Source organism: Homo sapiens, chromosome 18 (assembly GCF_000001405.40).
Source record: "Homo sapiens chromosome 18, GRCh38.p14 Primary Assembly".
NCBI classification, from domain to species: domain Eukaryota; kingdom Metazoa; phylum Chordata; class Mammalia; order Primates; family Hominidae; genus Homo; species Homo sapiens.
The window spans coordinates 44,712,676-44,724,783 of NC_000018.10; the positions used below are offsets into that span (position 1 = coordinate 44,712,676).

General features: G+C 45.6%; 1 protein-coding gene across 19 annotated transcripts in view, besides 3 other annotated features; it reads left to right on the top strand.

Annotated features, from left to right (window-relative positions):
* The window catches only part of SETBP1 (SET binding protein 1), a 388,438-nt gene that overhangs the window by 32,603 nt on the left and 343,727 nt on the right, over positions 1-12,108 (top strand). For 3 of the 19 annotated variants that reach the window (XM_047437479.1, XM_047437480.1, XM_047437481.1), the window contains exon 3: positions 1-12,108. This exon is cut by the window's right edge. The exons of the other annotated variants lie outside the window; for them this stretch is intronic. The gene's annotated coding sequence lies outside the window, so the exon portion shown is untranslated. 19 annotated transcript variants of the gene reach the window in all.
* Positions 2,320-5,099: an enhancer, noted in NCBI's record as "VISTA enhancer hs2335". NCBI's record gives its function as "enhancer in: hindbrain (rhombencephalon)[9/13] | midbrain (mesencephalon)[9/13]" and the evidence as "EXISTENCE:transgenic organism evidence [ECO:0001131][PMID:17130149]".
* Positions 3,553-4,752: an enhancer, noted in NCBI's record as "CDK7 strongly-dependent group 2 enhancer chr18:42296193-42297392 (GRCh37/hg19 assembly coordinates)". NCBI's record gives its function as "activates an origin of replication core promoter dependent on BRD2, BRD4, P300/CBP, MED14 and CDK7 cofactors, with strong dependence on CDK7, by STARR-seq in HCT116 cells {active_cell/tissue: HCT116}" and the evidence as "EXISTENCE:reporter gene assay evidence [ECO:0000049][PMID:35650434]".
* Positions 9,426-9,475: a silencer, noted in NCBI's record as "silent region_9414". NCBI's record gives its function as "represses an Ori minimal core promoter by ATAC-STARR-seq in GM12878 lymphoblastoid cells {active_cell/tissue: GM12878}" and the evidence as "EXISTENCE:reporter gene assay evidence [ECO:0000049][PMID:35858748]".

Genomic DNA, 12,108 nt, shown 5'->3' on the forward strand with positions numbered 1-12,108 from the left:
ATAAATGGCAGGGCAGTGTTTCTGATTGGGCTTGCGTGCTATTGGATCATGAAGGAAGCCAAGATTGGGAGATCCAGAAAGGGTCCTCGAATGAGAAGTTGAATTCATTGAGGACACAGGTGAGAATCAGGCATCTGGTCATTAGGCAGGAGAAGGCTGACAACAGAAGCTCTGTGTCAAAAGAAAGTCATAGGTCCACAACTGAGTCACACTTCCAAAATCGTGGATATTGCTAGAAATTAGAAGAGCCTCTGAGCATTTCTCTTTCAGCATCCCTCTTTTTTTTTTTTTTTTTTTTTTTGATACAGAGTCTTGCTCTGTCGCCCAGACTGAAGGGCAGTGGTGTGATCTCTGCTTACTGCAAGCTCCGCCTACCGGGTTCAGGCCATTCTCCTGCCTCAGCCTCCCAAGCAGCTGGGACTACAGGCGCCTGCCACTGCACCTGGCTAATTTTTGGAATTTTTAGTAGAGACGGGGTTTCACCATGTCAGCCGGATGGTCTCGATCTTCTGACCTCGTGATCCTCCCACCTCGGCCTCCCAAAGTGCTGGGATTACATGTGTGAGCCACCGCGCCCGGCCTCAGCATCCCCTTAATGGAACAAAACACCCCTTTCCAACTCCCTAAGGCATAGTTATTTGACTGCTGCTCAAAGGCCTTCACGGGGGGGGACGTGCCACCTTTCGCGGCAGCCCTTGTTTCAGAAAGCTCTTTCTTATATTGCACTAGGCATCCCTTTTATAGCCTAGATATTTCCAGTTCCTGAAAGTGTTCCTTGTATTCCATGGTTTCCTGGTGCCAAACCACCCTGGTTCCTGTGCTGGGAATACTAGTTTTTCAGTGTCTCTTCTAAAAGGTGTAAGTGGGAGAGCTCACAGAATAGAGTACAATACTGGGAGGTGATCTGGCCCTGCATTATGCCAGGGTATTGTAACCTCCTCTGTTCTAGACACAGTATCTCTATTAACATGACCCCAAGCTGTACCAGCTTTCTAGAAGCTATGTCATTGTTCATATACACTGAACTCAAGGTCAAGGAAACCTGCCAAACTAATATTGTCTTATGCTACTTTTGCTGTACAAATTATCACATCCGATAGTCAGTCGATTCTCTAGGCTAAAATTCAGGTGTTTGCGTTATTATCATCTCTTTGTGCACAGTTCTGGGCAGAGACGTGAATCGAATGTTATACAGATGGTCTGGTTTGGGTCTAGTGACTACATAGAAGGCACAGAAACAAGGCACTTTTAAATGTAGTTGCCCAACTCAGTCAGAAATCCTTTTCTATGTATTCTGTAGAGATACATCTCTAGATGGCTATCTGCCTTCTCCGAACCTGGTTTCTCATTTATATAATGACCTCCTTTATCTAAATGAAAGGGCTGTTAAGTGTGTGTTGTTAAAGGTGAAGTCTATTATTCTCAATTATGGTGTAAGCTCCCTGAGGACAGGAATTGTATCTTTTAATGTAATATTCACTTATTTTTATTTTTCCAGCCTAGATGTTAAACAAGTTCTTCTTAGGTCTCCTTTTTTTTTTGAGAAGGAGTCTTGCTCTGTCACCCAGGCTGGTGTGCAGTGGCACGATTTCCGCTCACTGTAACCTCCACCTCCCAGGTTCAAGTGATTCTCCTGCCTCAGCCTCCTGAGTAGCTGGGACTACAGGTGCATGCCACAACACCGGGCTAATTTATTTTGTATTTTTAGTAGAGATGGGGTTTTGCCACGTTGGCCAGGCTGGTCTCAAGCTCCTGACCTCAGATGATCCGCCCGCCTTGGCCTCCCAAAGTTCTGGGATTACAGGCGTGAGCCACCGCACCTGGCCTTAGCTCTTCTGTTCTATTAATATCAAAACAGCTCCTGCTTAGTCAGCTCTGTGTATTTTGCATTGGTAGTTAGAAACATCTGAAATCTTGTGTCTCTCGGGGTGTGTGTATGTGTGTGTGTGCGCATGCACGTGTGAGCGCTCTCCTATCCAGATATACTGTAACAGAGCTGAAGCATCTTAATTCTAGAAGTACCTACAGAGTTTAATGGGGTTTTCAGCCTAAGTGCTGTGTAGGGTATAGAAAGATGTTGCTAAGAAGTATTGATCTCAGGACATTTAGGGAAAAACCCAGGGCACTGTATTTAATAAGTAACTGTCAAAATATGTGATCCAGATGATAGTGCATGGTGTGGACAATCACATCTGCCCAGCACCTTGATAAAGTGTACTCACATCTGCCCAGCTGTTCCTTCTTTTGGGTTTGCTCTTCGTATAGTTAAGCAAAGTTGTTATTTCTCCCTGTTTTATAAACTGGGGAAAGGACTCTGAGGGTTTAAATGGCTTGCCTGAGCTTACAGCTAATTACTGAGGTTGGTGGGGTGGGGGGTGTTTGGGACTCAAACCCTCAGGTCTCCTGGTTTCCAGCAGTGGAAGCTATCTTCGAAACATTCCACCCTGCCTTGCCCTGCTGGGGCATCTTTAAGAAGAGAATAGTTGAGTCTCTTGAAACTCACCTGGTTGTTTCTGCTGCTTGGCCCTGGCTGTGGGTAAACTCCAGCACTGCAGCTTCATCCTGGAGACCCACAGCGCCTTTCTTGACTGCCCATAGCCGTATCCCTGCTAGAAAACACTGGGCAGGTCACAGCGGCAGTGAGGCGTGGTACGAAGTGATGGGCTGGCAGCAGCACAGGGCTGTGGGATAATAGGCTCGCTGTGACTTAATCCAGAAGTTATTTACAGGGTATTCTAAAGTGTCCTGGTTTGGACTGAGAATGTGGGATTCAGCTGAGGCCCTTGCAAAATAAGATTCCATGAGCGCTGACTAGCCTGAGGCCTGAGGGGAACAGTTTCCCCAGTCAAGGGTTCTGGGTCCAAGTCCCTGTTCTGCCTTTAACAAGTCCATCTGTGTTTGCTCATATTTAATAAGGGAGTCATAATGTCACTCTTCTTTTCACATTATTCTGAAGATAATCTGAGCCAATGGCTATAAAACAGTTCTGAAATGTTAACAGTGCAATGGAAATAGAAAGTGTTCTTTTTTAAAACTACTGTATAGTAGATTTCCAACAAACTATCGTTGCTAATTAAACTTTTCCATCACTTCCTTCAATATCCTTTTATTCCCTGGCCTCTCTCCTCCTCTTCTCTTAATAAAGCCCCCAGACGTGGCTGTGATGGACAGCAGCTGCAGGTTGGAAGTGGGCGCGTCCAGATACCCACCACATGGTGTAATTGCCCTTTGTGAAATTCTGGGGTGAGAGGTCAGCCCTCTTTGCCCATCTTTGTCACTTCTCAGTCATCTGTATCCTGGTGGCAGTTGTGTTATCCCAGCATCCTTCCCCTACCCCCACCTTCCCTCCCTTCTCCTGGAGCCCAGGAAAAAACCATCTGCTGAGTTGGCTTTCAGAAGATTTTTTTTTAAATACCAATTTCCCTTTGTTCCGAGGCAACCTCCAATCAGGGCTGGTGTCTGCTGGGTTTGGCGAAAGGCTGGTATTGTGTTTCATGCTCCCGGAGGAAAGGTTGTCCACTTGCTTTTCTTTTTGATTCGATTCCCTGCCATTCTGCAGGAGAGTCAGTGGTTGCAGCTGCTGCTGTCAGCTATAAGTGGGGGATCCCCTTGTTTAAGAACCTATACGTTAATCCCTTGGCAGGAGGAGAAAAACAAAACAAAACAAAAAAAATAGGGAAAAAATTAAATCCACCACTGACGGAAGTTTTTCTTTCTGTGTCCAACCTGCCCCATAAGTCACACCCGGATCCTACTGCTTGCTAAAGGTGAGGCCTTGCTGTCCTTGGAGGTTTTCTTGAAGGTTCTTTGGTGTCCAGGCTCTTTATGTTTTCTTATTTCTGAAAAATGGGAACTGTGTATCAGAAGCATAGGTGAGTCATTCTTTTTGTTTGTTTGTTTGTTTTTGAGACTTAGTCTCACTCTGTTGCCAGGCTGGAGTGCAGTGGTGCGATCTCGGCTCTCTGCAACCTCCAACTCCCAGGTTCAAGCGATCCTCTCACCTCAGCCTCCCAAATAGCTGGGATTACAGGCATTTGCCACCATGCCCGGCTCATTTTTGTATTTTTAGTAGAGAAGGTGTTTCCCCATCTTGGCCAGGCTAGTCTTGAACTCCTGACCTCAAGTGATCCACCCACCTTGGCCTCCGAAAGTGCTGGGATTATGGCATTAGCCACCGCCCTTATCCAGGTGAGTCATTCTTTTGTGGAACCCCTGAATCATAGAGAAAGCCAATTGGCTGTGCAGGTTGCTTTCCTGGACATAACAACAGCTGCCATTTTGCTACTTAGAGGAGCTGAGAACTTTGCCAAGCACTTGACACACATTGCTACCGAATCTTCCCCACAACCGCAATGTGATGTTACTATCCCCATTTTACAGATGACTCAAATGTGGCATAGAGAGCTCCAGGAAATTGCCCTGGGTCTCAGAGGCAGCCAGGAGGTTGTGATACCAGTGCCACACCCTCTGAGCTCCAAGGCAGCCACCGTGGCTCCTCATGCGGTGCTCAGGCAGCTGAACCCAAGGCTGGAATCAGAGTTTCTCACCTCTGACTCTGCCTTCTGGAAAACCAGCAGAGAGGTGTTTTTCTGGTCCTTCCATTAATCTCTTTGTAAAGTGAGACCACAATAGCTAGATGCCAGGGAAACGAGAGAGACAGTTGGGTCGAATCTTGAGAAAGCTGTATAAGATCTGCTCCCAAACTTCATGCTTTTGTCCTCTTTTTCTGTCATGTTCCACAAAATTGATGAAACTTGTCTCAACAGATTTAGGATGCTCAAGCACATTCTCTCAGATTGTCTTCTGACTTTGCAGACACAGGGCTCTGCTGGCCTCTGGCTCTGCAGGGTCTGCCCTCACTGCACATACTCCCATGTCTACTTTGGGGCCATTGCAAGGGATTGGCCCTTTACCAACAAAAGGGTATATTTTGATCCTTTATGGTGATGAGAGAAAGGGTCAGGGAATGAACATATGATGAATGCACTAAATTGGTAAAAATACATGAAATCCAAAAAGCTGTTCTTAAACACACCATTTCTTCCCTCCTCTCACTGGTGGACTAAGCCTGTGACCCAGAGCACTGAAGGACCTGAGGATTCCCTTAGAATAGAGTATAAAATAAAACAAAGATAAGAGAAAGACAGAGATAGAAGGTCAGAGAGGTTGAAGTTTTCTCTGTTTCTTCCTCCTAAGGACATAGAATTTTTCTAGATGACTTAAAATGCATATATGCATCTGTGTGTGTGTGTGTGTGCTTGTGTGTGCATTTTAACTTCTTAAAATATGTCATAGGTTCATAATAGTGTGGATTATAAGAAATGTAGCAACTTTACTAATGAACTCAACTTTACTCCTGAAACTAATAAGAGTTTTTGCTCAGCACTTTACCATATGGAATGATCTGGTTTTTAGTAAATGCTGTCTCCTGTTCATTTTTGAATATAATCCAGATATGAAAACAAGTCTTGCCTGAAGCAATGAGGGAGAAATAGCAGATAGGATCTAGAAACACTGGACTAGGTGAGGGAGGTTGAAAGTGATGGATGCCACAGATTGGGTAGCAGCAGGTGCAGGTCAGACCCTGGACCTGGAGTCAAGAATGGCCCTCATGCTCAGCCCTGCCAGCTGATTCATGCTGCACCTTGGGTTAGCCAGGGTCCCTCTTCAGAGCCCAGGGTCACCAAAAGCTGCAGATCCCAGAGCTGTGAGAGCAGGAGGAGCGGGAGAAGTGTCAAAAACAAAATTTGATTTCAGAACAGTGGGCTCTACTGAGTCTGAGAAAGATGTCCTAGTAGCAAAGAGAGAGAGAGAGAGAGCTAAGCTGAATGGAACCAGGATGGCCCTGCTGATGCTGCTTATCCACTTAAACTGCTCTCTTCCTTAGCATAACTGAGTCATTCATTCATTTATTCACTCATTCAACCAAATATATTTTCTTCAGTAACACTTTATTGCATGCCAGGCAGTACTATGGAGATGTAAGTGGGTATTGTCCCTCAGATGTTGCAAGTGGGGTACCGTTGTCTATTTGACTCATAAGCTGCAGACAGAAAGCTGTCTGTAGTTCTGGCTCTGGGGCTTTTCACAAATGTTTGTTGCTTCACCCAAGGTATTGGCAGCTTCCCACTGGTATCAGAGCTGCTGCAGATACTCTATAAGCAGAAAGCACCTCGTAGTATCTCAACTAGGACAGAGGATGTCAGAGCTTCTCAAAAAATAACTTGTAATTGACCGATTAATTTGACTGAGTAATAGGGACAGTCTGTGCCTAATTGGAAGGAAAGTCAAGAAACACCTTCAAGCAGAACAAGGTGAGATGTTAGTTGAAGGCTTCCATTCTGGTGTCTATGTGAAGACACATGGGGTTTTATGGTACTGATATATTTAATCTATGGGATGTCCTTGAAAGTCCCAGCATAGGAAGAGGAAGGTAGAATAGTAAGCTTGACAAGAAACCTGAAAAATCATGCATCACACATTTTGGAAGACGGAACAGAATCCAAAAAAAGTAGCAGAGGAAATAGAAGCAGAAATCTGATAAATTAGGGGAAGGTCAAAACACCTGAAAGGCCCAGTGTATTCGGGCAAATCAGGTTCAGAAGTGGAGGCCACGCGAGAGCTGACCACTTCATGGAGGAAGGTAAAAACTGCATCCGAGAGAGAATGTGTGCAAGGGGTGGAGGGCAGGGGAGTGGTATGTGCGTATGGGCGGCACCAGGATTTCAAGGTCTGAAGGGAAGGACTGCCTTTGAAAGTCTCCATTAGTTCAGATGACCTTTTCCGAGAAGGAATGGAGAGTACCCTGGAGGAGCCTGGTCTGTGATTCTGGGACCTTTTCAAAAATGCTTGTTGCTCCTCCACCCAAGGTACTGACAGCTTCCCACTGGTGTCAGAACTGCTGCAGATACCCTATAAGCAGAGAGGGGCTGCTCCAGTCTGGCCAGCTGTGCCCCACTCCACCTCCAGGGAAGAGCAGGTGCTGAACTTCTGGATACCTGCCTTTCCTTCTGGCTTCATTTCTAAATGACAGCTGACCTTTGCTCCCAATTTTAGACTTGCAGCAGATTCCTCTCTGGCTGGGCCCTGATTGCAGGAGCAGCAGTGGCCACTTCTGCTCATCTTATTTAACACTGGGAGATAATTGTTGGTCCTTGGAGCTTGTCATCCTCAGAAGACAGTCCAGCTGTGGGGGTCAGAGGTCAAAGCACACAGCCTGCTGGCAGTGGAGGCAAAGATCTGGATGGGAGGACAAACATGTGAGAAGATGTCAAATCTGGAGAGCATCCGGGGACTTCTCAGGCATTTGTGTCATTCTGTCCTCATGATTCTCTGAGGACCTCAGCTGAAGAGGGTGGCGCGCATTGGTTTGCATGTTAGAGAGAGTGCACTGTTGTGTGCTCATACACATATGTGTGAGCATGTATAGCCTCTGGGATGATAGATATTGCATACAATCTGATAGAGCCCTGGCTTAAGAAGCAAGAATTTTAGTCTCTCTCCCTAACCACCTGTGTTTCCTCACCTGCCTCTTGTTCTCAGAGGTCACCTCTTGAAATGAAGGCCATGAAGCAGAAGACACTGAAGTCCTTTCCAACTCTGATATTCCAGGACATCACCATAGAAATACCTATTCCTATAACTAACTAAGTATTCACATGAACATGATTATGTACATGTAAACAAATTTTATCGAATCAACAGTATAGTTTTCTCAATAGCCGCTGCTGTAGGTATCCAACATATATATTTGAGAAAAAAAGTAGACAAATTCAGCTACACCTAGTATGAATGATGCCTGGGAATGAAGAGAGGAACCACATGGGCACTTGAGCAGGTGACAGGATGCAGAGCCATCGCTCCCAGTTTAGACTGACTTGTCTGGCTTTTGGGGAAGCTTCCCAGTGTCTACCTTGTTAGGGAGGTTAGGCCCACGCATGGTGCTTATGTTGTACCCGATGGTGGAACATGTGAGAGAGTACAGGGAGGGATGGAGGAAGAAGCTTGAGTGGGCCTTGAAGAAAGCATAGGATTTAGGTGGGAGGGAAAGGGGTATAGGCAGTGTGCTTGAACACTGTGCAGAGGGCAAAGTGCTCATGGTGGGCAGCCTTGATCTGCTGGACTGCAGAGTTGACCTGGAAAATCTGGAGTGGAAGCTTCAGTAGGCCAGATCAGACAGATTTGACTTTTTCCTACGTGCACTAAGAAAGCAATGGAGCCCTCCAACCCCCACCCCCCACCCCAACCCCTTGGGGAGAAGAGAATGAAGGAATGTGCAGAGAGATGCTTTAGGACATCATACTGCGTCCAGCATTGGTGGGGAGTGAGCCCAGAGACTGGCTAGAAATTGATGGCAGCACCCAGCGAAGGGCATGAGTGGCCTTGAGTTCTGTCATCACATACAGAGAAGAGGCTGAGAGAGCCTTCTGGGACGTGGAAAGGAGCCACCTCTAAGGTCTCTATTCTTGTGACCTAGAGAAGTTCAGGTGTTTTTTTGAAGAAGTAATTGATTTCTTTTCTTAAGAATTCATAAGCATCTTACTGACACTTATTGAAAGCTGACTGGAAAGGGCCTTGCATGAAGAAGAGCTCTGGGTATGCACAAAGGTCCTGAATCCAGCCTCTGTCTTGGAGTTTTGTTTCCAGGAGTTATGCCTCATATAGGAATGCACAGAGGAAAGACTGCATCAAGTGTTTCTTCCTTTGCTGCATAAAGCCAAAGTTTACTTTCTGTATATGAGGCCAGTTGTAACCCATCATGTGAGAAGGTTTGGATTTCATCTGATAGGTTCACTGTCTGTTTCTAGTCCATTTTGTTTTGTCTATTCTTTGCCACTCATTTCTTTTCTGCTACTGGGTTCTCCAGCTCAGCACGGGACTCCATAAATCTCTTCTTTTCTACCCCTTTCTCCAAATAAGGGTTTTAGGGAAATGGTGTAGGTGGGTCGGGGGCGGGGGAGAAGTCAGCATATGTTTGCTTCCACAGTATCTCCTTTTAAATCTATGTTACCCGCTTTAAATATGACCCATTCACACTGTGGATGAACGAGTTGCACTTTTTCTGTGTTGAAAAGGAACAAGAATGCATATGGCCATGAGGGGGACTTTTCCTTACCCTCAGAAGGTGGGGGAAGAGGGCAATGGTGTGAAAGAATGAATTAGTTCTGGCAAATCTTGTTAGTGTCCATTGTAAGCAGAGAAGCTACCTAAGCCATCTGTGGTCACTTGCAAAATTGTTCCTTGTTTGTTCAGGCTCCCCACCGAAGCAAATCTTTGTGGCTTCTGATAATTTGCATATTGTCACTTGTTTGCCAACTAGAGGGTATCTGGACATGTGTATGTGAGAGGGCATCTGCGTGGACATGCATGTGAAATCTTTGTGGCTTCTGATAATTTGCATATTGTCACTTGTTTGCCAACTAGAGGGTATCTGGACATGTGTATGTGAGAGGGCATCTGCGTGGACATGCATGTGTGTACCGAAAAGAGCCCAGCATTGGTATGACATTGACATAGATGTTTGGGGGGCCTGGATTTGACTGGGCTCTAAGCTCAGTAGGAGAGGAAGGAATCCTGGGAACCTGTTTATATTATTTTGGGATATTCCTAGTCACCATCTCCGGTCGCCTTTTTGTGCCCCCTTCCCTTGCTGCCCTACCTTCCCATGAGTCCCCTGCTGCCCTACCTTCTCACACAATTTTGCCTCAATTCTTGTGCTTAATGGGTGGTGTGTGTGAGCAAGAGGCAGAACGTATTTAGGGCAGCTTGTTATAAGCTAAGGGAGATGTTAGAGTAGTATTTGCTACCAATGGATCCTTCTATGTCAAAGATACTGTTGTTTTGTCTCAATTAATTCTACAGTGTTTATGGGGACCTATTGTAGACCCTCCTGCAGAGCAGCAGTATTCGGGTGCTGCAGCTGTCTAAAGGCTGCATGGCCACCATGATTTCTGTCTTCCAGTGGTGAGCATCACGTGCTCTGTGGATGGGATGAACAAAATTCGGGAGTACGCTCATGAAGGGACTGGTTATTGGGTTCTGATGGTCACTAAAGGATTCCCATCTGAGTGCTTGTAGAAGGCTGATGATTGTGAAGGGCATGTCTTCAGGACGGTTCTCTAGTAGGCTTCTAGGATTCCAGATTGGCCAAAGAAAATGGTAAATGCAAATCTGCAAAAATTAAACAGCACAAATACCGTTTCTTTTCATCATCACAATATCCTATGGGAAGGATAATGTAATAGGATTAGAATCTAGGACAAAAATGGGAGTCCTTCTGAGTTTTATTTTTAACAGCACCAATAACTAATTGTATGACATTGGTAATTTAACCCATTTAGGCTGGAGGTTGAAAATTTTTGGGTGTGAAAAATCAGACCTTGGTGATGACCTTGAGCAGTAGGATATAAATAACTCCCACAAGCTTAGTGTTCCAATAATGGAACACTAGGCATAACTGGGTTAATTGGACAAAATTTCCCTACCCCTTAATTTCTCCTTTGTGAAGTGGGTAATCTTGCCTTTTCCTTCTCCTTCTCTTCCTCTCACTTCCTTTTATATGAGACAAACTCTGCCTATAAAGAAAGTTGCTGCTTTCATCTCTTCAGAAGTCCTCTTTTTATACTGTCAGGCGGTATTCTCCATAGCTATTTGAGAGGGTCACACTGTTTTTTATTGCTTGATGGATACACACAAAGAATGTTAAAGCAGAAAGAGACCTTGAAGATCATCAGAGCTGTCTTCCCTTCACAGATGAGGACATAGAGCCCAGATCAGTGATGTCTCGTGATTTGTTCAAGATCACATGGCAATCAGCGACAGTCGGCGGGGGGAAAAAAAACAACACCCTTTTTAGTCATCACAAAGCTGAGTGCTAAAAATGAGACAGGAGACTGAATTGCTGTGGCCGGTCATTGCCACTGCATGGGAGTCTGCCCCAACTATTTGCTTGGCCCATCTTATTACAGTTTGGCACTTCTCTCTTGAACCTTCCTGAACCTACCACGCCTTTGCCCAGGATAATCAGATAAAGGGGCCTTTTATTTCCCAGCTGCCCTGTGCATGCAGCATTCAGAGAAGAGGGGCTGGCAGTGGGGGTGGGGAGGGGAGAAAACATTTGTCTTTCAATACTGGCCTGACATGAAAGCTTCACTGCCGGGCATTTTGAGAACCCAGCTAAATAATGGTCGCAGCCAAGACAAAAGATAAAACTGACCCACTAGTTATGCAGTTACTTAAACATGATTTACCCTGCATAATGCTGCCTGGGACCTGAGGGTCTCGTTTTTAACGAGCCAAGAGACAGAACTATTAATTACATGGGAAGGAGTGCTATCAGAGAGCAAAGTAGTCATTGCCAACGAAAAAGTCCTGAAATATTCCACGCCTTTCTCAAATACTCACAGAAACACCCAGAAGTGGCACAGCTCACATGTTGGTGGACACAGGCAAGGATGGGGAAATGATGAGTCCCAGTGGTTCTAATGTTGGATGTCACAGGGCTGGGGGTTTAGCTGGAGCCAGGGAAGTTGCAGTGGTTAGAGGAAGTTGGGACAGGGGTTTAGAAGCAAATTATCTTGTGGTTTGGCTGAATGTGAATGTTGGGAAAAGTCAAAGAGGAGCTCTGCATCTTACTGCTCTAGCGGACATGATTTCCATTTTATTTCTGCATCTTACAGCCAACCCCTGAGCCTCTAATCTCAGTGACATGCCCATTTAAGGGAGTTAGGATATAGGGTGGGGGAGGGGAGCTGGCCTAGACCAGAGAAGAGGCTCTGAAGACCAGAGATAGGTAAGTGAGAGTGGGAGTCTGTTTACAGATTGTCTCTCATCCACTGTGATATGTTAATTTTTCTGAGCATCTTTTGATCAGATAAGCAAATCTCAGAAGCACAGCTCTTGTTCTGATTGCTTTAGGGGCATCACTGTACCTCTTGTGGTTAAACATAGTAGCCTGTGACACCAGCCCTGGAGTGGAGTGTCTGGGCTGGGAGGATGAGAAGGTAAAGCCTAGAGGATTTGAAGAGGACAGGGTCAAGGGTTAAAGGACAGGGGTTAGCAGCAGGCAAAGGCCCAGGATTGAAATATTTGCTGAAGGCTGACAGGCAG